Source organism: Homo sapiens, chromosome 4 (genome assembly GCF_000001405.40).
Source record: "Homo sapiens chromosome 4, GRCh38.p14 Primary Assembly".
NCBI classification, from domain to species: domain Eukaryota; kingdom Metazoa; phylum Chordata; class Mammalia; order Primates; family Hominidae; genus Homo; species Homo sapiens.
The window spans coordinates 38,171,618-38,196,985 of NC_000004.12; the positions used below are offsets into that span (position 1 = coordinate 38,171,618).

At 45.5% G+C, this 25,368-nt stretch overlaps 5 annotated features.

The window, feature by feature from the left end:
- Positions 5,947–6,216: an enhancer, noted in NCBI's record as "active region_21427". NCBI's record gives its function as "activates an Ori minimal core promoter by ATAC-STARR-seq in GM12878 lymphoblastoid cells {active_cell/tissue: GM12878}" and the evidence as "EXISTENCE:reporter gene assay evidence [ECO:0000049][PMID:35858748]".
- Positions 7,947–8,116: an enhancer, noted in NCBI's record as "active region_21428". NCBI's record gives its function as "activates an Ori minimal core promoter by ATAC-STARR-seq in GM12878 lymphoblastoid cells {active_cell/tissue: GM12878}" and the evidence as "EXISTENCE:reporter gene assay evidence [ECO:0000049][PMID:35858748]".
- Positions 8,417–8,476: an enhancer, noted in NCBI's record as "active region_21429". NCBI's record gives its function as "activates an Ori minimal core promoter by ATAC-STARR-seq in GM12878 lymphoblastoid cells {active_cell/tissue: GM12878}" and the evidence as "EXISTENCE:reporter gene assay evidence [ECO:0000049][PMID:35858748]".
- Positions 15,598–15,767: an enhancer, noted in NCBI's record as "experimental_79551 CRE fragment used in MPRA reporter constructs". NCBI's record gives its function as "activates a minimal promoter by MPRAs in K562 erythroleukemia cells, with activity observed for both the introgressed and non-introgressed 4:38188921 variant alleles {active_cell/tissue: K562}" and the evidence as "EXISTENCE:reporter gene assay evidence [ECO:0000049][PMID:34662402]".
- Positions 17,940–18,109: an enhancer, noted in NCBI's record as "experimental_79567 CRE fragment used in MPRA reporter constructs". NCBI's record gives its function as "activates a minimal promoter by MPRAs in K562 erythroleukemia cells, with activity observed for both the introgressed and non-introgressed 4:38191263 variant alleles {active_cell/tissue: K562}" and the evidence as "EXISTENCE:reporter gene assay evidence [ECO:0000049][PMID:34662402]".

Here is a 25,368-nt window from a genome sequence, read left to right on the forward strand (position 1 = left end):
GTAATCCCAGCTACTCAGGAGGCAGAGGCAGGAGAATCACTTGAACAAGGGAGGCGGAGGTTGCAGTGAGCCAAGACTGCACCACTGCACTCCAGCCTCCTTAAAAAAAAAAAAAAAAAAAAAAAAAGAAAAAAAAAGGCAAGGGAGAAAGGCAGATGGAGACCAAAATTTCACCTTTTCTACTGATAAAGCTGACACTAGAGAAAGTGGAAGATATCTGCAGACAAAGGGATGGCAAGGGGCTAGGCTATGCATGCCCATCAGCAATCATCTAAGTCTGTCCCCTCTCCTGGGTGGGGGGAGTGAGGACTGCAGGGAGCTTATTATGCCAATGGGCTCTCACACCACAGAGAAGGGAACACCCAGAGTGGTGAGTGGTTGTGAAGTACCTTTGGCTTAAATGGCAAAGTCTGTTGTGGGTATTTTCCACTCATGGTCTCTGGTTTCTATCCCTATTGCCTCCTCACTGTCCCTTGACATTCTCAGCTGATCCAGAGAAAAGACTGCATAGTGAAAAAGGGTGCCTGACTGGGTTTTGGGAGACTGGGACCCAGTTGAGGCTGGTGGGCAAGTCAGATCAGTGTCATAAGTCTTGTGTTCCTCGTATGTCCTCTGACGGTGTAGGAGAGGTTGCTCCCCCTTGCTGAAGCCAGTCTTGTGGTTTGGGTACCCTCCACCCACTCTGGGAACCTTGCCTTCTCTTGCATATTCAACGTCTTTTCTTCTCGGCTGCATTTTTTTCCATAGGCTTTTAGGCTTACACAAGTTGTTCCCACTTAAAAGCAATATCCTCACTTGTCTCTCATCCTTGCCAGCAATTTCCCTATCTGTTGCGCAGGCTGGAGTGCAGTGGCACGATCTCAGCTCACTGCAAGCTCTGCCTCCCGGGTTCATGCCATTCTCCTGCCTCAGCCTCCCAACTTGTTGGGACTACAGGTGCACGCCACCATTCCCAGCTAATTTTTTTTTTTTGTATTTTTAGTAGAGACAGGATTTCACCATGTTAGTCAGGATGGTCTCGATCTCCTGACCTTGTGATCCACCAGCTTCGGCCTCCCAAAGTGCTGGGATTACAGGCGTGAGCCACCGTGTCCGGCCTCTGCACCTTCTTTTTTATAGAGAGACTCCTTTAAAATGTTGTCTGAATGTATTGCCTGTGCTCATTCAGCCCATTAGCAGCACAACCTGGCTTCTTCCCAGATAACTCCCACTAAGGTGGCCAATGATCTTCATGTAGCTCAATCCAGTGGACACTTCCATTCTCCCTGTACTTCATTTCTCAGCACTAATTGGCACTGTTGATCATTCCCTGCTTTTCATTTGTCTTCCAATACAACACTTTCTTGGTTATCTGCCTTTGAAGTTGCATTGGTCTTCTAGCCAGCTATTTCTTGGAGCTCTTCAATACCTAGGTCCTCTTCTGTTTTCACTCTACCACCTCTTAGTGAAAGAATGATTAGACTATTTGCTCATTCATTCGATAAATTTTTATTGAGCACCTATTATGTGATAGGCACTTTCCTAGGCACTGATAATTTAACAGTGCAAAAAAAAACCCCCAACAAATTCCCTGCTCCGATGATGCTTTTATTCTAGTGGGAGAAGACAGGGAATACATAAATAAGCAAATAAGTATATAATATATCAGGTGGTGCTAAGTGCTGGGAGGCAAAATAAATCAGGGTGAGAGAATAAGAGGAAAGGTGATGTTATATTTAATGGTCAGAGTCCTAAAAGAAGTGACTGATTTTGTTAACAAGGTAATGTTGGCCTCATAGAGTGATTTAGGAAGTGTTTTCACCTCTGCTATTTTTTGGAAGAGTTTGACAAGGATTCTTTAAATGTTTAGTAGATTTCACCAGTAAAGCCATCTGGTCCTGGACTTTTCTTCATTGGGAGGCTTTTGATTACTATTTCAATATTTATATTTGTTACAGGTCTATTGTGATTTTTGATTCCTTCTTGAGTTAATTGAGGTAATTTGTGTGGTTCTAGAAACTGCTATTACATCTAGGCTATCTAATATGTTGGTGTACAATTGTTTTTAATAACAGTCTTTTGTAATTCTTTTTCTTTCTGTAAGGTCGGTAGTAATGTCCTCACTTTCATTTTCTGAGCTTAGTTATTTGTGTCTTCTCTTTTTTTGGTCAGTGTAGCTAAATGTTGGTCCGTTTTTGAAGACAGTGGCTGAGCATGGAGATACCAAGTGGCAGGGCATTCCTGGCAGGATGACAGATCATCCCAGCAAACATTTACGGAGAACTTCCTGTGTGCCAGGCATTTATTACAGGGGCTTCACCTGGATGTTTCCATAGAGCAGCTACGATGATGATGATTATTCTTACTTTCCAGATGAGGAAACTATGGTACGGAGAGGTGAATGAGCTTGCCCAAGATCCCATCACTATTAGAAGCAAAACCAGTAAGAGTCTGACTCCAGGACCTGGTCTCATCTGTACACTTTGACCTTGCCCAGGTGTGAGTTCAGTGAAAGGAATTATTATGACTAATGTCAAAACAGAGACAATGAAACAAAACCTCATCTCATGTACCTCAATATGGAATTTTTTCTCCTTTAGAAATACATGAGAAATGTGTCATTTCCAGCTTGGAGTAACAAATGGTACAACCATTTTACAACCTAATTTTACTCTCCAGCTGGTTCCAAGATATTAATAACTAGGGCTAGGCCATCCTTGTCACATTTTGGATTTTTAAAAAAATCTCCAGCTATCTTCCAATGTATGCCATTTTGTAAAATATATTTTTCCCTAGTATTTTTTTCCATTTGGAGGAAACAAAAGTATGTTTTAACAGCATACAATCCATATGCTTTTGATTTCCTCGTACTCAAGTCACCAAAATGTCGCTTCATAAGAGCTATTTTATTCCTCTTTAAACTCTCCTGAATATAAATTTTTAACATTTCCTTCCTCTCAACCACCAAGCAGTGTTTTGCTGAGGGAAAGAATATCCAGATAGCATCAAAACTAGATAGTTTTTCAACTGACGTTGGGACTTAAGGGGGCTTGGAAAACATGCTTTCCTGACCAAAGCTAAATTACGGGCTGATTCCGAAGCTCTAAGTACCTAATGGCTCAGGTTAAGGGACTTATGGCCCCAAAGACACCAAAGAGTTTTTAATCACTCTTCCTCCCTGCGTACCCCACAGCAGAGCTGTAAATCTTTTTTACCCTTTATAGGAAAAAAAAAAAAGTGAGTGGGAGAAAGAAATTTCTCTTGTCAGCTTGAGCTTTAAAAAGAAGAAGGAAGTACGGGGTGAATGGATGTTTTTAAGCTCAGGCATATGTTGGATGGGAGGAAATGAGACTGAGGGAGAAGCAAAGTGCTGATGTAGAGGGTCCATATGGCCTCAGAATGACCTGTGAGTCTCACCAGTTCCTATAACAAACGCCACAGATGCCTCATGTGAAGAGCAAGTTTTGTAAGGAAGCTCTGGCATTGAGTGAAGTCAGCAAAATTAGGAGTGGTGCCAAGAAGGATTCTCCTGTATGAGGAGCACTCCTTTTCCTTTCCATCCATCCATCCATCCATCCATCCATCCATCCATCTGCCCCAGAAACACTGGGGAAATCAGGCAGGAAGGATGGGAAAGAAATGGAAATTAAATTCTATTAGTCACTGGCTATGTCATCAAAGGCAATGCTGATTGATTGCTAGTGGCTGCCTGGAGTGCTGTGTTGAGAAGGATTCTGAGGTCTGGTCTGTTTTTTACAGCGAGAAGTAGAGTTGATCAGGGATTCAGCTACAGACAAGATGGTAGGGAGTGCCAGCCGTCACTCTCATGTTGAGAAATATCTCACTGTGCCATGTTCCCAGTCCAGAGCTGGTTAAATGGAGGAGATGAAGGAAGGATTAGCCTGATGCCCATCCAAGGTAGATAAGAGTGAGAAGAGCTGGGCTGGTTTAGGAGGCAATGGTAGGATTTTAGGAATGAGACTTTGGCCTGGTTAGTATCTGTAGCTCTACCAGAAAAAACACTAACCCCTCCAAGCCTCAGGTTTTTCCATGTGTAAAACAGAATAAAAACACTTTCCTTATAGGATTGGGGTGAGGATTAAATGTAAAATAAAGGGTCTGGCTTGTAGTAATGTTTTATAATTTTTTTAGTTTTTTGAGATAGGGTCTTATTCTGTTGCCCAGGCTAGAGTGCAGTGGCATAACCATGGCTCACTGCTGCCTTGACCTCCGGGGCTCAGCTGATCCTCCCACCTCAGCCTCCTGAGTAGCTGGAACTACAAGTGTGCACTATGATGCCTGGATAATTTTTTGTCTTTTTTTGTAGACATAGGATTTCACCTTGTTGCCGAGGCTGGGCTCAAATGATCCGCCTTAGCCTCCTGAAGTGCTGGGATTATAGGCATGAGCCACCACGCTCGGCCTATAAATGCTTTATATTTTTATATAATAAAAATGGCTCTAATTTGGCTTTAGACTTCGGTGGCTATTATCAATTAATCAGTATCTATTTTGTACTTAATAGGTACAAAAGGAAACAGAAATATCTAAAATCTGGGGTGACAGAAAAGAGATACATAGAACAGAAAACCACGTGATCAGGGCCAAGTGGCCCATTTCTACTAGATATCTGGAAGAGGGGAGACACATGAACTGGGTAAACATTTGAGGATGAAGAGTAAAGGGACTTCCCTTTTCTCAGCTCTAAATTTGAAATATTCCTCTCTCTTCCTATGTGGGTTTTTGTGTTCCTCAGAGGAGAGACCTAAATTCTGAGGCGTGGACAAGAGAAGGTCAAATTGCTGCTCACAAACAACGAATCAGGCTGGGTGCCGTGGCTCGCTCCTGTAATCTCAGCTCTTTGGAAGGCCAAGGCGGGAGGATCCCTTGAGGTCAGGAGTTGGAGGCTACAGTGAGCTACAACGGTGTTCCTGCACCCTAGCCTGGATGACAGAGTAAGACCCTGTCTCTAAAATAAATAAAAATAGGCCGGGCGTGGTGGCTCACCCCTGTAATCCCAGCACTTTGGGAGGCCGAGGCGGGCAGATCACGAGGTCAGGAGATCGAGACCATCCTGGCTAACACGGTGAAACCCCGTCTCTACTAAAATAAGTACAAAAAATTAGCCGGGCATGGTGGCCGGTGCCTGCAGTCCCAGCTACTCGGGAGGCTGAGGCAGGAGAATGGTGTGAACCCGGGAGGCGGAGCTCACAGTGAGCCGAGATCGCGCCACTGCACACCAGCCTGGGCGACAGAGCAAGACTCTGTCTCAAAATAAAATAAAATAAATAAATAAATAAATAAAAATAAAAATAAAAACAAAACCAAACCCCAATGAATCAAAGCCTTAGGTCCTTTCTGGATTTACCTGTATTAAAAAAATTGTTTCCTTTGCCTGTTAAGGAGAGCCACTGAGAAGCAGTGTGAGGGGTTCCGTTGCTTCTGCACCTTCCTGACTGCGGTGGGCAGAGTGTCAGGAAACCCTGCAGGCCAGGCCACACCACCAGGAGAAACCAAAACAGAACAAGAAACCGCGTGCAGCAGAACACGGAAAAGTCCTTTGTTGTTTAAAGTTTTTATCTTGCTTGTGGCAAGTCTGACGATTCAGCAACCACCACAGCTGCATTGGGCTGAGAGTTTCCTTGTAGGTCTTTTCTCCAAAGCCGGAACAATAGCAGGGGGTTAGTCCTTCCCTCTGCCCAGCTCACGTTCCAGTTTCTGAAATGGGTTTGGGACAAGCAGAGCTTGGAGCAGCCGCCCTGAGGTTTTTATCAGACTAATTCAAGTGAGAGGAGGCAGAGTAAAACTAGCTGTTTAGGTTCATGGGTGATGCATTTCTGGGCATGAACTTCAGCTCTCTGTATCCTGATGTTGAAATAAGTTGAAAGAGTCAACAGGTTTCCCATTACTTGGTTAATGGGAATTAACCAAGTTCCCATAGTAATGGGGACCCTTAGTATGGTTAATGACAAAGGATCATGAAGATTGAGGTTTCCAGACCTTGCTAGGGATACAGTGAGGATCTCCCAGCCACCATACTTTCTCTCCTGTGAATCCCCCCAATCACTTGTCTCCCTACTGTGTGCTCTGAGCACAGGTGACGGGGACCCTAAACCAGGGAGCAGCAAAAGGAGGGAAAAGGAAAAGCAAGGCGACGTGGCACGCCTGTGGCAATACCTGCCAAGTGACGTGGGGGTGCTACATGTTCTCAGAACACAGCTGCGGCATGGCTGGCAGCTGGCCTGGGTGTGGCTCTTGAGGGGAGCTGCTGGGCTCGGTGCCGCTGGTGTCTGTTGCAACCTCACTTTCCTTATCTGGGAAATGAAGGCATTGGGGGTGGTGGGGGAGTCTGTCTGCTCTGTCCGTCAATCGTTATTACTGAGGCTCACACATTGTTGAAAAAGTCAAAGAATGTTTTAGGAAAACACATTTTGTAGGTATTTGTTCATTCATTCATGGATTGATTTATCCTCTCACTGAAACTTTGTTTTTACACACTGACTCTGTGCTAGGTACTGAGGGTACCAAAACCAATAAGACTGGATTTCCTGTGCTCCTGGGCTCACAGTCTTGTGAGGAAGATAGATACATATGCAGATCATTCCAGAAAAACAATCTGCTTAATAACAGAAGTGTGTGTACTGTGTTCAGCCCTGCCTGGTAGTGTTGAGAAGGCTGACACGAGGGCCAGGTCTTGCAGGAAGAGTAAGGATGCCCAGATGGTGAAAGCATATTTCAGAGGAAAGTCTAGAGCTTGCAGAAAAGAACTTTACCTGAGAGCCATGGTAAGGCTGAAAAAGAGTTTAAGGAGGCAGCAAAAGGCAGAGAAGGAAACATGGATTATCCTGTTCTATATTGGATTATCCTGTTCTATATCCAGGTGAGATTCCAGTTTATCAAGAGAGAAAAAGTCTCCCTTTTTCTTTACACTAAGAAACGCTTGGGTCTTTGCATTGGGATGGCCCAACACTGTTTATATACTACAGAGCAGGCCACTGATGCTTGTTTTTACCAGGCTACGCAGAGGAAGGTATTTCTTGTTGCTATTTCTCGCATAGACCTTTGATAAAGGCTGAAGACTTTATTAAGACTGTTGTGATTCTTACCCTTTATAGAGTCAAAGCCTCCTTCGAAAATGGGAGGAAAATAATAAGCACATAATTTGCGTAAAATTTCAGAGGTTTCCAGAACCATGTTCGCAACCCCCAATGCCCACTCATGCATTACAGGTAAAGACCTTCCACCAGGCTTAGGCTGTGAACCAGGGGACTGGAATAACCCAGCCCAGATATAGAGCTTTATGGCGACCTGGCCTGATGTTGGCATTAAGTTTGGACATTGTTGAGGAAGAAATGTTACTAGGCTGACCTTTCGTGGGCTATGGCCAAGTTTGGGTGAGGGCAGAGTGTTGACAAGTGCCCTTTGCCCTGATTTCCTGTGGCTTGGTGGTCCTGGATCTGGGAAAAGCAGAAGCAGCTTTATAGCTTGGTTTGTTAGTTGCCTGCCAAAGGAGCAGTAACCTGCGATGAGGTTTGTTTGGCACATTTTTTTTTTTTTTTTTGCCATTTATTCACTTGTTATACTCGAGTGTATATGCTGGTTTGTGTACTTTCTTTCGACTGGGGTTGGTGTATCAACTAGAGCAGGAAGGGGTGCGGTGATGACAGAAGTGGACCAAGACCATTCTCAGATGGGGAAGAGTGGAGACAGATGTGTGGGAAATTGACAGGAGCCAGGGGTCAATTTCTTATTGCCAGAGCTTTGAAAGGAAGCGAAATCCTTTTTCAGAGGGCTTTGGCAGGGCTAGTACTAGGGGGAGGCAAGTGAGACCTTTGTCGTGGGTACGAAATGCGAGCGGGTACCCAAAACTCAGTAATCAAGAAAAATAATATTTTAATGCAGTTAAAAAAAATCAAAATGCAAAAAAAAATCATAATAAATAAAGCATTAAAATTTTAAGTAAAGACAGGATGCACTCCTGTACTTGCGAGACTCTGCCTCACTTAATCCTAATCCCCATTCTGGGCTTTCTTTGGAGCCAAGAAATGCATCCCCTCAAAGTCCCAAACTTGTATTTGAACAACACTTGTGAATTGCAGTAAAACTGGTACCTGGGCATTGCTGAGTTAGTTCTTGTAGCTCTCCAGGAAATTTTCCAGGCAGTGGGAGCCCTGCTCAGGTCCAGCCTAACCACCTTTGCCCAAGAAATGTGTGTTGGCAGTGACCCAAATTTTCCACCAGGTGGCACTCTTGCTCCAACCACGTGCCCCTGAAAAGAGGATTCTTAGCTAAGAGTGATTTAAACTAATTGTTAAATTGTGCTTCTTTTTGGAAAGGCTGAAAAAAATCCTGAGCAGGAATTGGGGTAAACAATGATGGGATATAAAGAGTATTTGAGGAGTGTTCTGGAAAACTTGGAGCAAGGTAGGGCCTGATTAGTGGCCGGCCACAGGCTGTGCTGCTCTTCAGCAGGTGAGAAAAGGGAGAATTTTAAACCGCCTTTTGTTCTCAGATGCAATATAAACACATGTGACATGGGAGAGAAATGTGGGATTAATGATTTTCTGTGAAGTATATCCTGGTAACAGCTCAGGCACTTGAGTCAGAAAGACCTGGAATGTTGGTTCCACCACTTCCTAGCTGTGATCTTGGATGAATGACTGGGCTTTGACAAGCCTGAGATTCTGCATCTTTAAATGGGGATGATTGTAGCTGCTCCTCCAGACGGCCATTAGAGGATTAAATAAACGAATGCACATAAGGCTGTTTGCACGGTGCCTGGCACATAGTAAGTGTTCAACAAAGATGAGGTGTTATTATGGACTTTTAGGCAAAGCCTGTCCAGCTAAATTCCTGGGCCTGGCCTCCCTTGGCTGTTGCATTAATTAAGGAGATGACCTCAGGGTGACCCAGAGAAATAACTTGATAATGAACCATGGCTCGAGGAGACTGGACCAGAAGAGTTTCCCACCTGGATAGAGTTTCACAGGTGTGATTTTTGAAACAGGAAATCAGGCTGGGTTCCCGGGCTCCTGAGCAGAACTGTCTCACCCTCTGTGACTTGTACACATCTGACCACCAGGTGACTGATCCCACTTAAACTATGCATTGTTGTGGAAAGTATCAATTTACAAGGATGTGTATTGGAACCTTTCCATGAGTCCAGTCTGTCTCCTTACTGTTCTGAACTCCTGAACTCACAAAGATGCCCCAAATTAACTATCCTTCAATAACAATGAGTTGATAATAGTTCCTGTTTGTTGAGGCTTACTTTATGTCAGTCACTTTAATAAGCACTTTACAGACACAGGTTCCTTCATGTCTCAAAACCACCTGGAGAAGTAAGCAAACCCATTTTACAGACAAACTAAGATTTAAGGAAACTTAGTACCTTAGCAGCTCTCCTTCAGCCAGGAATTGGTATAAACTTAGATCTGTCTGACTTCTAAATCAATCAATCAATTTATCATTGGCCTATCATCTATCCATTTGACAGCTTAAGTACAAACCATTCCAATCTAATTAAAGCAATGTTCCATAGAGACCTCTAGGGTCTAAGAAAATCTTTTTTGGCCTCAATTGAGGCTTCTTTCTTGAAAATATAGGGAGATATTCATGGCTGCACCTTTGCAGATCCATACACACATAGCTCATATATGTGACTCTCTAAGTAGCATGTTCTTACTTGTGGGCACTAGGACCAAGATTATGGTCCATTCTTGTGTCCACTGCACTTCCGGGATTCCCCAGGGAGAGCTCATTTGGGAGGATGGTCTGACAGTGTCATTCTCTGTTCTGCACTGAGCTCCCTTTGCTGGCCTAGGAAAAGCTAGCTGGCCAAAATGGTCTCAGTTTTCAATGGGATGCAGTTGGACAAGAGAGGATGCATCAGACAAGATCAGTTTGACCTTGGCTGCAAGAAGGAGCAGAAGGCAAATGCTATCTTCCCCAGTGAAAAACATCACTAGCCATCCAGGGAGGAAATCTGGTTTTCTCAACTGGAGAAGATAGCTACAGTTCAAAAGTTTAGAGTCTTCTTCGTGAATACAGTTCCTGGCATCAGTTGAGGGATCAGCGTAGATAAGTGGAAGTTCCCACTTATAGCATGTTTGATTTCTTTCCCCCAATGCAGTTTATTACCTCTAAGTTTATCCTGTAGCTCAACTCGGACTAATAAAGTTTTCTCTAGTACAGAAGGTCCATAGAGGATCTACTTTATTAGTTTAAGTGGGTTTTAATTAGTCAATTAGAGAACAGTTTCTTCTCCAGGACTTAAAAACGATTTTGTCAAATTATTTCAATGAAAATATAGTTGGCTTTATTTAGTAACTAAAAAAAGTCACTTCTAGTTTATATTGTTACAAATTAAGGTCAATGAAGTTTATGGATTAAGAGGCAAGAAACAGGCCGGGTGCAGTCGCTCACGCCTGTAATCCCCGCACTTTGGGAGGCCGAGGTGGGCGGATCATCAAGTCAGGAATTCAAAACCAGCCTGACCAACATGGTGAAACTCCGTCTCTACTAAAATGCAAAAAAATTAGCCAGGCATGGTGGCACACGCTTGTAATCCCAGCTACTCAGGAGGCTGAGGCAGGAGAATGGCTTGAACCCAGGAGACGGAGCTTACAGTGAGCTGAGATTGCGCCACTGTATTCCAGCCTGGGTGACAGAGCAAGACTCTGTCTCAAAAAAAAAAAAAAAAAAAGAAAAAGAAAAAAGAAAAGTCAAGAAACAATAATGTGTTTTTCCTTCATACGTAAATATTTTTATTAAAATTAAAATGACCCAAAATAATATAATAACATATAGAATTGAGAGGTGACAACATGCTGGCAGCCCTTGCTCGCTCTAAGCACCTCCTCGGCCTTGGTGCCCACTCTGGCCGCCGTTGAGCCCTTCAGCCCGCTGCTACACTGTGGGAGCCCCTCTCTGGGCCGGCACAGGCCAGAGCCGGCTCCCTCTGCTTGTGGGGAGGTGTGGAGGGAGAGGCGCGGGCGGGAACCAGGGCTGCACGCCGTGTTCACGGGCCAGCATGAGTTCCCGGTGGGCATGGGCTCGGAGGGCCCCGCACTCAGCAGCCCGTCCCGGGCAGTGAGGGGCTTAGCACCAGGGCCAGCAGCTGTGGAGGGTGCGCCGGGTCCCCCAGCAGTGCAGACCAGCCCGTGCTGGTGCTCGAATTCTCGCTGGGCCTCAGCTGCCTTTCCGTGGGGCAGGGCTCGGGGACCTGCAGCCCGCCATGCCTGAGCCTCCCCCCATCCCCCGCCGTGGGGTCCTGCGCGGCCTGAGCCTCCCCAATGAGCTCCGCCCCCTGCTCTGCGGCGCTCGATCCCATCGACCTCCCAAGGGCTGAGGAGTGCAGGCTGGCGCTGCGGGACTGGCGGGCAGCTCCACCTGCCGCCTGGTTCGGGATGCACTAGGTGAAGCCAGCTGGGCTCCTGAGTATAGTGGGGACTTGGAGGACCTTTATGTCTAGCTAAAGGATTGTAAATACACCAGTCAGCACTCTGTGTCTAGCTCAAGGTTTGTAAATGCACCAGTCAGTGCTCTGTGTCTAGCTAATCTAGTGGGGACTTGGAGAACTTTTGTGTCTAGCTCAGGGATTGTAAACGCACCCAGCAGCACCCTGTCAAAACGGACCAGTCAGCTCTCTGTAAAACAGACCAATCGGCTCTCTGTAAAATGGACCAATCAGCAGGATGTGGGTGGGGCCAGATAAGGGAATAAAAGCAGGCGCCCTGGGCGCAGCAGCAACGCGTTGGGGTCCACTTCAGCAGTGTGGGAGGTTTGTTTTTTCAGTCTTTTCATAAATCTTGCTGCTGCTCACTCTTGGGTCTCCACTGCTTTTATGAGATGTAGCACTCACTGCGAAAGTTGGCAGCTTCACTCCTGAGGCCTGTGAAACCACGAACCCACCAGGAGGAACGAACAACTCCAGGCCGCCTTAAGAGCTGTAACACTCACGGGGAAGGTCTGCAGCTTCACTCCTGAAGCCAGCGAGACCATGAATCCACCAGAAGGAAGAAACTCTGAACACGTTCGAACATCAGAAGGAACAAACTCCAGACGCACCACCTTTAAGAACTGTTAACACTCACCGCGAGGGTCCACGGCTTCATTCTTGAAGTTAGTGAGACCAAGAACCCACCAATTCCGGACACAGAATCATTATGATTTCCTTGGAAAATGGATGTGTGGAAAGATATTTACCATGGGCTTTCTTTGGAGCCAATAAATACATCCCCTCAAAGTCCCAAACTTGTATTTGAACAACACTTGTGAATTTCAGTTAAATTAGTACCGGGAAATTGCTGAGTTAGTTCTTGTATCTAGAACTATCTTCAGTAGAATGACTGCACATCCAGATGTAGACAGGCTGGGAGGAAGGGGCCAAATCTTACTCATTTCATTATTCTCGGTCTCCAGCATAGGACTGACATGGGTCTTTGATCAACAGATGTTTACTGGTTAGAATTAAAATCCAGCATGCGGATTCTCATTTATTTGATTCCTTGAGATGAAAAGGGCCAGTCTTCTGACCTTTTAATCCACTGTCAGCACTGGCGCCCCGATCAGAAATTATAGCACAGGAGCCTAAGCTCAGAGCGACTACAAAGGGGTCAGGGCAGAGGGAATTGAAGACACAGATTCTATCCCCGTCTGGACTTTTCATATGGACGAGGGAAGAGGTTCATAGCCTCAGCTGAGCTGCAGGTCAGACAATTGGGGTGGATGCTCTTTTATTGAGCACCTGCTATATAGATCAGGATATTTGCATTCACTCTCCCATTTAATCCTCGCAAGAGGTTGTGAAAACACCGACATCGCTTCTATTATCCCCATTTAGAGATGAGGAAACCAAGTCTTAGCCAAATAACCTGCATAACGGAAGAAGCTGGGATTCAAATCCGGGACTTCAGAATGGAAGAATGATGTCAAATTTCCTCTCAACAGCAGAGATTCATGCAGCCAGTAGGGGAGCTAGGGCTCACCTTAAAATGGCACTAGGTGTTTGCAACTTTTTGAACAAAGGCATTTTTAGGGAACTAGTGGACAAGCGGTTGATTTGGCAGGAAGCCCGCCAGACAGCTAGAAAATGCAACTGGCCTGGGACCGATCAATCAATTTCAGGTTGCAGTATGTTTTTTCCCCTCCAAATCCATCCACTGAAAAGTCCTTGGAGTAGGAGCGGACTTGAAAAGAACTGCCAGGATGGAAAATACTAATTTTTTTTTTTTGGCATTTATTTTAAAAGGGACTTACCTAAAGCTCTCTAGATCCACTAAAGTATTACACAAGAAGATGGGTGAGTCTCAGGCTCTTCAATCAGAAAATTATTTCCATAGGTCAAAAGAGCCAAAGAATTTCTCAACTCTATTTACATTCTCAAAAAGAAAAATTTAGTCTGAGCATGGTGGCTCATGTTTGTAATCTCAGCAGTTTGGGAGGCCGAGGTGGGAGTGTCACTTGAGGCCAGGAATTCAAGACCTGCCTGGACAACATAGTGAGACCTGTCTCCACAAAAAATAAAAATAAAAAAATTAGGCAGTTTTGGTGGTGTGTCCTGTGGTCCCAGCTATTTGGGAGGCTGAGGCAGGAGGAACACTTGAGCCCGAGTGGTCAAAGTTACAGTGAGCTATGATCACACTACTGCACTCCAGCCTCGGCGACAGCAATACCCCATCTCAAAAATATAAAAATGAAAATAAAAGAGAAAGAAAGAAAAAAGAAAAATTTATTTCTAGGTTCAAACCCCATTTCCTTTTACCGACCTTAACTAAATTTCTATTTGTCATCTTTTTAACTGGTTTGTGTGACCCTTTTTAACTGGCTTGTGTGCCATGAATGTCTGATTAAGATGTTTGTTTCCGCCTCTTATACAGTAATCAGGCAAGGAAGCACAATCTCTGGGTCCAAGAGGGGGTTAGGGAGGAGGATTCAGTTAAACAATCATGAAAACAGGGCCCTGTGGTAAGATGGGAGGGGCAGAGTCCTCCCCCTCAAGGGACTTAGTGTCCAGTGGGAGACACACAGGCCACTGTTGTCCGGTACCCATGGGGCATCTCTGGGTTCCTCCAGCAGGGAGCCTGATTAGGATCCATGAGAAGCTTCTCTTTGCACCCAGAATCTCTCCTGTTCAATCCAGCTCCCTGTGGGCTCTTAATTGTAAGGCTTTACTATTCGCCAGGGAGACCTCAGGTTTTTCATTGATTAAAGAGAAAGACTCCTTTGACACTACAAAGAGGAACATTTAAATTGCCAGGTGATTTAATGCAATTATCTCTCCTTGGCCTGACAGGTTGAAATGAGCAAAGGAGTGAAAGGATTCAAGGAACTTAACATAAATCGAACCAGTTATTTTCTCACTAGCAATCAGCAGATTGAGGATGTTCACTGGGGAGACGGATGATGCTTCCTGCAGCAGTGTTAAGTGCATTAAAAAAGAGCAACTCAAGAAAATAATTTCCAATGCTTTCCAATTCTTTTGCCACCTGGAAACTTTCTGTTCATTTATTTTTAAAACTCATTTTTAATCTTTGTGTATTGAACTTCCATTGGGCGCCTTTGAGGGGCCTCACTGCATTAGTTTGCTAGCGCTGATGAAACGAAGTACAGCAAACTGGGTGACTTAACAACAGAAATGTACTGTCTCCATTCTGGAGGCCAGGAGGTCAGAGACCAAGGTAGCAGAGGGGTTGGTTCCTTCTGAGAGTGGTGAAGGAAGGACCTGTTCGGGGCCTTTTTCCTAGCTTCCGATGATTTGCTGCCATCTTTGGCAGTCCTTGGCTTGTAGACACATCACCCTGATCTCTGCCTTCATGTTCACCTGGCATTCTCCCTGTGTGCATGTCTGCATGTGCATATTTCTTCCTTTTTATAAGAACACCACCATTCGTATTGGATTAGAAGCCACCCTACTCCAGTATGATCCCATCTTGAAACGAATTACAGACAGTCCCCCACCTAATGACGGTTCCACTTACAATATTTCTGCTTTATGATTGTATGGAAGTGACATGCATTCGGTTCAGTATTCAATAAATCACGTGAGATATTCAACACATTATTATAAAATAGGTTTTGTGTTAGGTGATTTTGCTCCAGTGTAGACTAATGTAAGTGTTCTGAGAATGTTTAAGGTAGACTAAACTATGGCATCCAGTAGATTAGGTATATTAAATGCATTTTTGACTTAACAGCATTTTCAACCTATGATGGGATTATCAGGTCATAACCTCATTGTAAGTTGAGGAGCATCTGTACATCTGCAATGACCCTATTTCCAAATAAGGTCACCGTCTGAGCTACTGGGGGTTAGGACTTCAACATATGAATGTTAGGGGGATACAGTCCCACCTGTAACACTCCCTGTAGCCCTTCTCTGTCGCTGGCTGAAACCAGCTGGTTGACATGTGGACATCCACCTTCTCGCTTCTGGCATAGGGACTCACAACCCTGGGTACAAAATGGAAATCACCTGGAAGATTTTGAAAGAAATACCCAAGATGCCCAGTGGGATTTTCCCTAGCATGTGCAGGGTCCTCGGTACACATTGTTTGCTGGGGCACTTATCTATAAAAATAAGCTGACTAGAAAATGCATGACAAAATTTATGGGCCCATATGAGGTACAGTGATGCATTGAAGAAAAATTAGAATGGGTAGAAGAGAGTTACTTATGATTTATGTATTGTCCAGTTAGTGCACATAGAGATTCTTCGCGGGGTTTAGACAGAATCTCTTCCTGTTCTTTATCATCAAATGTACCATTCCTGATTAATTTCATATCTCCTACTGTAAGAGAAAGATAGCAACACTGTTATTACAATGCCAGGGCTCTTCAGAACAGTTTGTATTGAAAGAATAGATTTTGTTTCTGCTTTGCCTCAATACTGTTAATTTGAGGGTTGTTTCATTGTTAAGGGTCAACTGTCTCATCTGGTGTGTTCGATGTGATTATCAGCTCTCAATGGTCTGTTAAAGGTGCTTTCCCCTTGGTGAACAGAAAATGCAAGTCTTTCCCAGTATGCAAGAAAGTGTGAAGGATAATTCTTTTTTGGTGATGTGAAACTTACTCTTTAAAGTTTTCTAGCACAAACGTAGGATACTGTTATGGTTTGGCTGTGTCCCCACCCAAATCTCATCTTGAATTGTAGCTCCCGTAATTCCCATGTGTTGTGGGAGGGACCCTGTGGGAGATAATTGAATCATGGGGGCGGGTCTTTCCCATGCTATTCTCATGATAGTGAATAAGTTTCATGAGATCTGATGGTTTTATAAAGGGGAGTTTTCCTGCACAAGCTCTCTTTGCCTGCCGCCATCCATATAAGACTTGACTTGCTCCTCCTTGCCTTCCACCATGATTGTGAGGCCTCTCCAACCACGTGGAACTGCAAGTCCATTAAATCTCTTTCCTTTATAAACTACCCAGTCTCGGGTATGTCTTTATTAGCAGCATGAGAACAGACTAATACAGATACCTTCCAACCATGTTCTGAATCCACCAGGCAGTAATTACTACCTTCCTGAAATGTGGTATATTTCCATAGGGACTGCATTCCTGCCTGCCAGGCAGTGCCACCAGCCTGTAGGGTAGTGGCTTGTGGAAAGAGTGAGAAGAGCAGGCCTCTTCCTGCAACTGTCTACCCTCATCAGGCACGGCCTGAGACCGACAGCGACTGCGGGACATCACTGCATCTGTGGGAGATGAGAGGACAATGACCCGCAGGGTCTGTTTGCCTTTAGGAGCAATGGACTGGACAGCCACCCTGGGAAGACTGTGGAGCCTGCAGCAGGTGTGGGTGGCTGGCCTGGGTGGCCGCAATCAGGCGTGCACAGCTAATGTCGCAGCCCCTACTGCTCAGTGTGGAGGACCTTAGGAGGATCCCAGCATGGAGGGCGAGAGCCATGCACAACCCACACATGTGACTCAAGTGGGGTCTGCGGTGGATGGTCTGTAGCCAGGGCCCTGAACATGCCCTATACGCCATGTGAGTGAATTGCCCCAAATCAGCACCACTGGTGGCCTCACCTCTCATGCAAGAAACATTGCTCTGGGCAGTGGGAGTGGCCCAGGCCACCCTCCTAGTCGTGACGATTGCAAAGGCACGAGTCACCAAGCTCTGTGGGTACCTGCATCCTGATCCTTGCTCAGGGTGCCCCCGGGGACGATTCTGACAGTTCCTGCAGGTGTAGGCACGGATGTGCAACCTGGAAAATTTCAAGGAAGGTGCCCCAGGGCACAGGCCAGGATAGGCTGGCTCCCTTCCCGGGTCTAAGGGCCATTCTGCTGCCCAGCCGCAAACCCGGAAGATTCTGATCTATGGGGCTGGGGCGTGGCTCCCCCACCATAGGTATAAAAACCTCCTCAGGTGACTCTCCCGTGCAGCCAGGTTGAGAACCACAGTGACCTCGCTCACTGACTCACAAATTTGTTGGCACATTGGAATCACCAGGGAGGTTTAATACATTCTAAGCCTGGATGCCACTCCCTGAGTTTTGACTTAATTGGTCTGGGGTGTAACCTAGCATTGGGATTGGAGAATCAATGACCTCTCATTTGAGGTGGTTTTTTAAAACCTCCAGTGGTGCCCTACATCTGATTGGCTATCAGTTGCACACTTAGCTTGGAAGGCCCCTGGATGCTGGTTTTGTGGGAGAGATTCCCCTTGCCCACTCTTTCATTGCCTGATTGGCTTCCCTGACCCCACAGGTGGCATCTTCCTCAAGTCAACCAGCGTGGTAGTCAGAGAGGGCTAACAGGAATGGGGAAAAACTTTCAACCTCCAGAGGAGTGGAAATACTGGGACTGTGGTCACACCTGGTCAACAGTCCTAAATATGAGTGTGAAAAGTCACTTGAACATTCAGAGACAAAGCTCTGGTCTCTGGTCACCACCCCTCTTTTTTTTTGAGCCAGAGTCTTGCTCTGACACCCAGGCTGGAGTGCAGTGGCAAGATACTGCTCACTGCAGCCTCGACCTCCTGGGCTCAAGCAATCCTCCTACCTCAGCCTTCTGAGTCACTGGAACTACAGGCGTGAGTCACTGAGCCTGGCTCTCCAACCCCTTTTAGAGGCTTTTTAGTTCTCAGGCTGCAGTGTAAACTGACTTTCTCTGACCCCAGGGATGAGTCAGGCAAATGTGAAGCCAAGGGGTCAACATGGAGCTGCTTCTTCCGTGGAGTATCAATTTTATTTGACAATGTACATTTGGAAAGTCAAGTAAACTTACTGACTAGAAATGCACAACCTTATTTTAATATCATAATACATGAGAATATTGTAAACCATGATGCATAACTTGCATAATTAAAAATGAAAATCAATTATTTTTATTTTTACTTTTAGATACAGGTTCTTGTTCCATCACCCAGGCTGAAGTGCAGTGGTGGAATCCATAGCTCACTGCAGCTGCAAACTCGTGGCCTCAAGCAATCCTCTTGCCTTGGGCTCCCAAAGTGCTGGGATTATAATCATGAGCCAACACACCTGGCCAGTCTAAGACATTTTATGCTTGCACTGGATGTTTCAGAACAGGCATCCCCATTCCCCATTTATCTTGTATTAAGAGTTGTTTGTTAAAAAAGCTTGAGACCCACTGGAACTAGTAGGTTCAACCTATTTCTCTGTGATCTAAATGAATTCGCATAGGATTTTTCTCTGCTGGGGATGTTCTTCCCTCACTTGGTTACCTGATGAACTCCCATTTGCCCCTCAAAGCCCGCCTTAGATTTCTAGCATACCTTTCTTCTCCTGTCAGTGAGAGGTTATCACCACCTACTCTGTACTGTGCTTAGTACATATCTGCGTTTATGCTTATTCCGCATTGGTGTAATTTATTTGTTTATGTGTCTATTTCATCTATAAGACTAGATACTCTTTGAGGGCAGGAATTACATTTCATACATTGTTCTTCCTCATCTTAGCACCAGGCCTGGCATAGAGCAGATCTCAACAAGAGTTAGTTGATTAAAAGCCATGTTTTTCTTTACTTCTTAAAGAATAACTGAAAAATCCCAAACGCTCCAAATTGCTGCTAGTTGAAATTCAAAAGGAGATCGTTTTGGTGCTTTTTTCTGAGTCAGCTGTGTGACTCTGAGTATGCCCAGAAAACACAGGAGTTGCCCTGGCAGGGGGGTTGGTTATAGAGGGGTTGTCACTAGATCCTGGCCCCTTGGGGAAAGGGAGAGAGGAGGACATTGAAGAAGGGACAGTCCAGCAGCTGGCCCAGCTGTGGGGCCTGTGGTCTCCCCTCCTCTGCCCCCTCCCGTGCTCTTTGGATAGCCTTGTACTTACAGCCACTTGGACAAGCCTTAGCATTGTTTGCCTCTAGTGTAGGGTCAGAGGCCTTGTAGGAATGGCATGATTCTGCTTCCTTAAATAGTGACTTGGGAATGAAATGAGTAACCATGTCTTTAATTAGCCATACCCCAGAGGCCCGTAGGGGGTTGGTAAATGGTGGGCTTCCAGCCAAGATCAGCACTATGTGGCTGGTATTCGGTCCAGGGAGGCTTAGGGGGATGTTTTATTGGCCTCTCTCCCTCCAGTTGTCCTGTCAGCCCCTGATCCATGCTGTCGCCCTTTCAGCACGATGGGCTTCTCAAGACTGACAGAGGAAAGAAGGGAGGAGAGAGGCTAACCCAGTCTGCACATCTGTTAGGTTGGTGCAAACGTTAATTGTGGTTTTTGCCATTACTCGATTTTGCATTTACTTTTACATCAACCTTATATAATATCATGGGCCAGCCTCTGTGCCCAACACTGAGAAGGGCAAAATCAAAGGACTTTAGAGAAGGACTAAAATGTAACCCAACAAAAACATATAGTCCCAGAGCAGTCAAAGAAAGAGGGAGTGAAAGATATTTCAGAAAAACTTAAGTTCTTTGCTCTTTCTCCTTCTCCTTCTTCTTCTTCTTTTTTTGACAGAGTATTGCTCTGTCACCAGGCTGCTGGAGTGCAGTGGCGCAATCTCGGCTCACTGCAACCTCCGCCTCCTGGGTTCACGCCATTCTCCTGCCTCAGCCTCCCGAGCAGCTGGGACTACAGGTGCGCACCACTATGCCCCGCTTATTTTTTTGTGTATTTTAGTAGAGACAGGGTTTCACCATGTTGGCCAGAATGGTCTCGATCTCCTGACCTCATGATCCGCCCACCTTGGGCTCCTGAAGTGCTGGGATTACAGGCGTGAGCCACTGTGCCCAACCTTGTATTTTCAAACTCTGTAAATGGAATCTACACAGGCTACCCTTAATTCAGCCTCCTTCCATTTTCTATCCACTTCCTCACACCCTGAGTCTGCCCTGGCACTCTTTCCTCAAAACGCTGCAGAAAACTGCCCTGGCCTGTGCACTTTTCCCTTTACCCTTGTAGAGAGAAAAGAAATCTTTCTAGCCCGAGTCCACATGCCTTTCATCTCTACTAAATATCCTCCTTTCCTTCTGCCTCTTCATTTTTCTCTCCCTAACTTTTGATGCTATATTACAGAAAAGAATAATTCTGCAAGGGAAATCTTTATCCCCAGGGAGAGTGGCAAAAACCAATGGGAAAAGGCCTCTTTCGATGGTGAGGAGAGAGGAGACAGGCTAGGGATACTCACAAGTTAAGAACGTTGGTCCTGTCTCTTAGACTCACACAGTACTGAAGTGTGGATGTCCTCGAGCAAAAGCACAGAGGAGATCTGCGGAGTCTACCCAAGATGCTGAGGATTGCTTCCCAGAGACGAAATGCCTGAGTGGAGATTTGAAAGAAGGCTAGGAGTTCACCAAGAGACCCAGGAGAAAGGGATATCCATTTAGAGAGAATGACATGGGTAAAGTCATTTGGATAAGACAAGAGTCAGGTCCCTCATCCACTTTGTAGCTCCTGACCTCCAGACTTTCCAGAACTGTGACTGCATATGAGATTCAGGATACCTTCCTTTCAGCTGTTGATATTGAACTCCTAGGGTCCAAATGGGAACTTGATGGAGGAGATGCTAACGGGTCCATAGGGCAGGCAGGAGAGATGCTCCTGTCTTTTCCTGGGAAGGGAATGCAAATACAGCCACTATCCTGTGCCTGGGATATAAGTCTATTCCCTCCTGAGAAAGGAGAAAACACTTTGGGCAGGTCCGGGCAGGGCAGGGCAGGGCAGGGTAAGACTGGCTTTGCCCAGACCAACTTTGGTGCTCTCAGAAAGCAGGTAGAAAGCCTGACTATAAACAAGCTCTCTCAGCTTCCTCTTTATTGGATCCACCAGTCCTCAAGAGGTTTATTCTTAAGTTACTGTTCAGTCTGGGCTCAACCTGTCCTTATTTCTTCACTCCCACTACCTCTAACTTCGAACACTTACTTGTGCATCTGAGATTTTAAATAATATGGTATTCTGGAATGTTTGAAGCTCCGGTGTATAGGAATGGTGTTGCATGTGTTAACAGAGCGGCAGGAATTCTACAAAGCTCTCTCTGGAGCTTTGTGTGTGTTTTTCCCATACCAGCAGCATCAGAATTACCTGGGAGCTTGTTAGAAATGCATGTTTTGGGGGCCCCATCTCAGACCTATGGAACCCGTGGGGTGGGACCCAGCAATCTGTGTTTTAACAAGCCTCTAACATGCTCACATTTTGGACATGCTCAATTGAGCTAGAAGGCTATGTCATGCCGGGGAATTAGCCTGTGATGAGTAGGACTGAGTCCCCGGGTTTGCAGGTTCCAAGGCACAGAAAACACTGTTTATTTAAGGGACTTCTTCTCTGAATGGGCATAAAAGCATTCTTTGCCCTTTTCCATGAACACTATCAGCTTCAGAAAATGCCACATGTGTTGCATCAGAGGGAGACTTCTGACTTCTCAGCAGGTAAATGTACCTTGACTCCAAGGATGGGGAAAAGAGGGGGCTTCAGAAAATGCAAATAAGGCTGCCAGTGGCTGCAGGTGACCTCCACTGGAAGTGTTTCAGCTCTGAGTATGCCAAGTGCATTGCTCCCCTCAGTGCTTACTCTAGGACAGTTTCTGCCTGGCCCCTCCTTCAACTTCTCAGAAGCTGCTACACCGAATTCTTCTCCAGCCTGGAGCAGTGCAAGAGGAAATGGACTGTAACAGAAGTAGGAGAAATTCAAATTTACTATAAGGGACTTTCTGAGGGCAAAGCCTGGAACAGAGCAGGTTGCACAATCTTTTCTGTACATCTCTCTCAGGGGCTACAGGGCTTAGTGGTTAAGGCTAGTGCCTGAATTGAGTTCAGTCCTGGCCTTTCCATGATTTAGCTGTGATCTTGAGAAAATTGCTTAACCTCTCAGTGCCTTCATGGTCTTTAATTTTTAATTTTTTTAGAGATAGGAGTCTGGCCATGTGGCTCAGCCTGGTCTCGAACTCCTGGTCTCAAGCAATTCTCCCACCTCAGCATCCTGCCTCAGCCTCCCAAGTAGCTGGGATTATAGACACAAGCCATGGCGCCCTGCAGCAGTGCCTCCATGTTCTTGATCATAAATTGGGAATTATAATAGCAAGACACTCACAGGCATTTGTGAAGATTACATTAGATAATGCATCCCAAGTAAGCACTAACCCAGCACCTGGCCTGTAAGTGTTCACTAAATATCAGCTATTAAACACCATCTGTACCTAACTTAGTACAGGCATTCAATTTAATACATGCTTGCTGAGTAAATGATGGATTCACAGTCCCTGTCTGAAGCTGCTAGAAGACCATCAAAAATATACTCCCCTTCCATTCTGAACAATTAAATTACCAGGGAGTGGTCCTGATTCCCAAGGCTTAATGGAACTCTAGCAGGTATTTTTCACAGTGGTTTCCTATTTCTGGAATGTCTTCTCCGTTCTGGTCTGTTGTCATCCAGTAGGCTGTTAGTGGGGAATCAGAGTGACTTAAATTGCTCTCATGGACAGAGGGAGGAAACAATTAAAAAGAAATGGGAAGTGAAGTTTCTTGGGTAGAAGGACAAGGGTTGCCACCAGGTAGCATTTCCTGACATGACTCGGCTTGGAACAGTCTCTTAGCAAATTAGAAAAGTGGTCTCTGAGAGAAATCCATCTGCCCCTCCATGCATTGCTGGCAGTGAGCTCCTGAGAGAGAATGTCAAAGGTCATTGTTGGGGTCTAACTTCATCAGAGCTGATATCTGGTAGGGGCTTATTTCTTTGGTTGAGCTGTTTAGAGGAAGAGAGATTGGTTTTTTTTCACTTATACCTGTACTTATAGAAAGCACCCTTGACATCAACACATCAGACCTGGGACCATCTAATTATCTGGAGATCTCTGTTTTTCATTTACCGTTATACCCATATAATCTAGGTGGTTTCTGCCCCACTGTTGATCCCAGGCATTTTGCAGTGAGACTGTTAAAGAATTCCAAAGCAGGTGTGAAAGTGCAGAGCAGGAAGATTTGGAGAGAGCTTTGAGATTTACTCTCCTCCAAAATCCTCCAGCCATGCAAGGCACAGGACTGGAAGAGCAGCAGGAGCAGAAATCCGGAATCTGTGCTTCTGATTTTGCCCAAGTGGCCAGATTTCCCCTGTGGAGGAATCACCCAGTTCCTGCAATAGCCCTTCCCCCACCTCACCTCTCTCTGCAGGGACCTCCAGGTCACCCCTATGCCTGGATAAAACTTGATGGCTGCCATTAGAACTTCTGCTAATGAGGTGAACTTTTCAGAAAACTCAATATTTAAAAACAGGGACTCACAAAACAGATCAACTGGGGAAGTGGGTGATTATTTGTCTTTGCTATATATAGGAAAGAGTCAGTTTATAACATAATTATTTTTATGTGCTATTTTTTCCGCAGAGCTCAGAGAACCATCCAATCTAATTATGCCTATATGCATTGATTTTTATAGCATCTCCTCTCTCCTTCCTGGGGTCAGACATGAGCTCTTCAGACTCTACTTCTTTTGTGACTTTCTCCAATGCCTGGCACTGAGCTTGGTACTCAGCAAGGCCCAACAAAGGTACAATTGACTGCTAGTTGTACTCCCTAGTGGGAGGTGTGTGGGTGTCTTGGAGCTGCAGCCTTTACCAGGTCTTCCCAGGAATATGCTGCTTAAACAAACGATTCTTCTTCCTCTCAAGGTGGCAGGGAATCAAAGAGCAAGGCAGGTGTGTCCACCCCACCTGGTCTTCTTATCTTTGGACTGAAATAATCTGTGCAAAATTGGAAACAGCCTGCATGTGTTCGGTGTATGTCTGCACGTGTGAGCCTGTTCCTCTGTGACTTGAAAACAGGCAAAGTATGAAGCATGAAGAAGAATATCTGGGTCATAAGGAGGAGAGAGCTCTAAGCATTCCTCCTGTCTGGATTTCCACCTCTTAGGTTAAGTCTGATTTATTTGGCTTTAATGGAGTCTTACCTCTGTATCTAACGAGAGTTATTTACAAAGGAAGCTTGTGTCTTGGTATTGTAAGGGTTCAGCTGTAAGCCATGATCTGCTCAGCCAGGGTCTGGGCTCTCTAGACTTGGCGCCCACAGTGTCTCTCCAGCCTCATTCCCGGGGCAGTGGGGGTCACACCCAGCTCTGTGCCTGCTCTAGAGCGTGGACCCTGCTCCTGGTTCTGCTCACACTGTTACTGTAAGCAGGAAGTTCTTGCCCTCTGCCCAGGTTGCCAGACCCTGGAGGAGACGGGAAGTTTATGATCTTTACATCTTTAGGATAATGCTTGACATAGAGAAGATGCCTGATAAAGGTATATTAAGCGAATGGAGAGAGGGATGAATGTGCCTCTTGCCACACGTGTCCTGCCTACATTTAGGGAAATTTACTGATGCCTACTATAGGCAGGCTCCATTCCAGGGGCTTGAGATACATCAAAGTTGGAAAAATGTCTTTCTTTATGGACAGAGATTATATTCTAGCAGGGGTGACAGACTAACAATAAGTAAATAAATTATATAGTATACTACATATAAGTGCCATAGGAAAAAATCGAGCAGGAGAAGGGGGAGTTGGAGGGCCGGGGCTGGGGCAGGTTGTGGTATTAAGTAGGTGGTCAGGGCCCAGTGTGGTGGCTCACACCTGCAATTCCAGCACTTTGGGAGGCCAAGACAGGTGGATCACAAGGTCAGGAGATTGAGACCATCCTGGCCAACATGGTGAAACCCCGTCTCTACTAAAATACAAAAAATTAGCTGGGCGTGGTGGTGCATGCCTGTCGTCCCAGTTACTCTGGAGGCTGAGGCAGGAGAATTACTTGAACCCGGGAGGCGGAGGTTGCAGTGAGCCAAGATTGCACCACTGCACTCCAGTCTGGGCAACAGAGCAAGACTCCGTCTCAAAAAAAAAAAAAAAAATTGGTGATCAGGGCATGACTCTGCTGGAGTAAATGGATCCCTTCTCTGATCACCTCAAATAGTTTGTCTGAACCTTTCCTCTGGCAATATTGTTTTATTCTTTAAAAATAC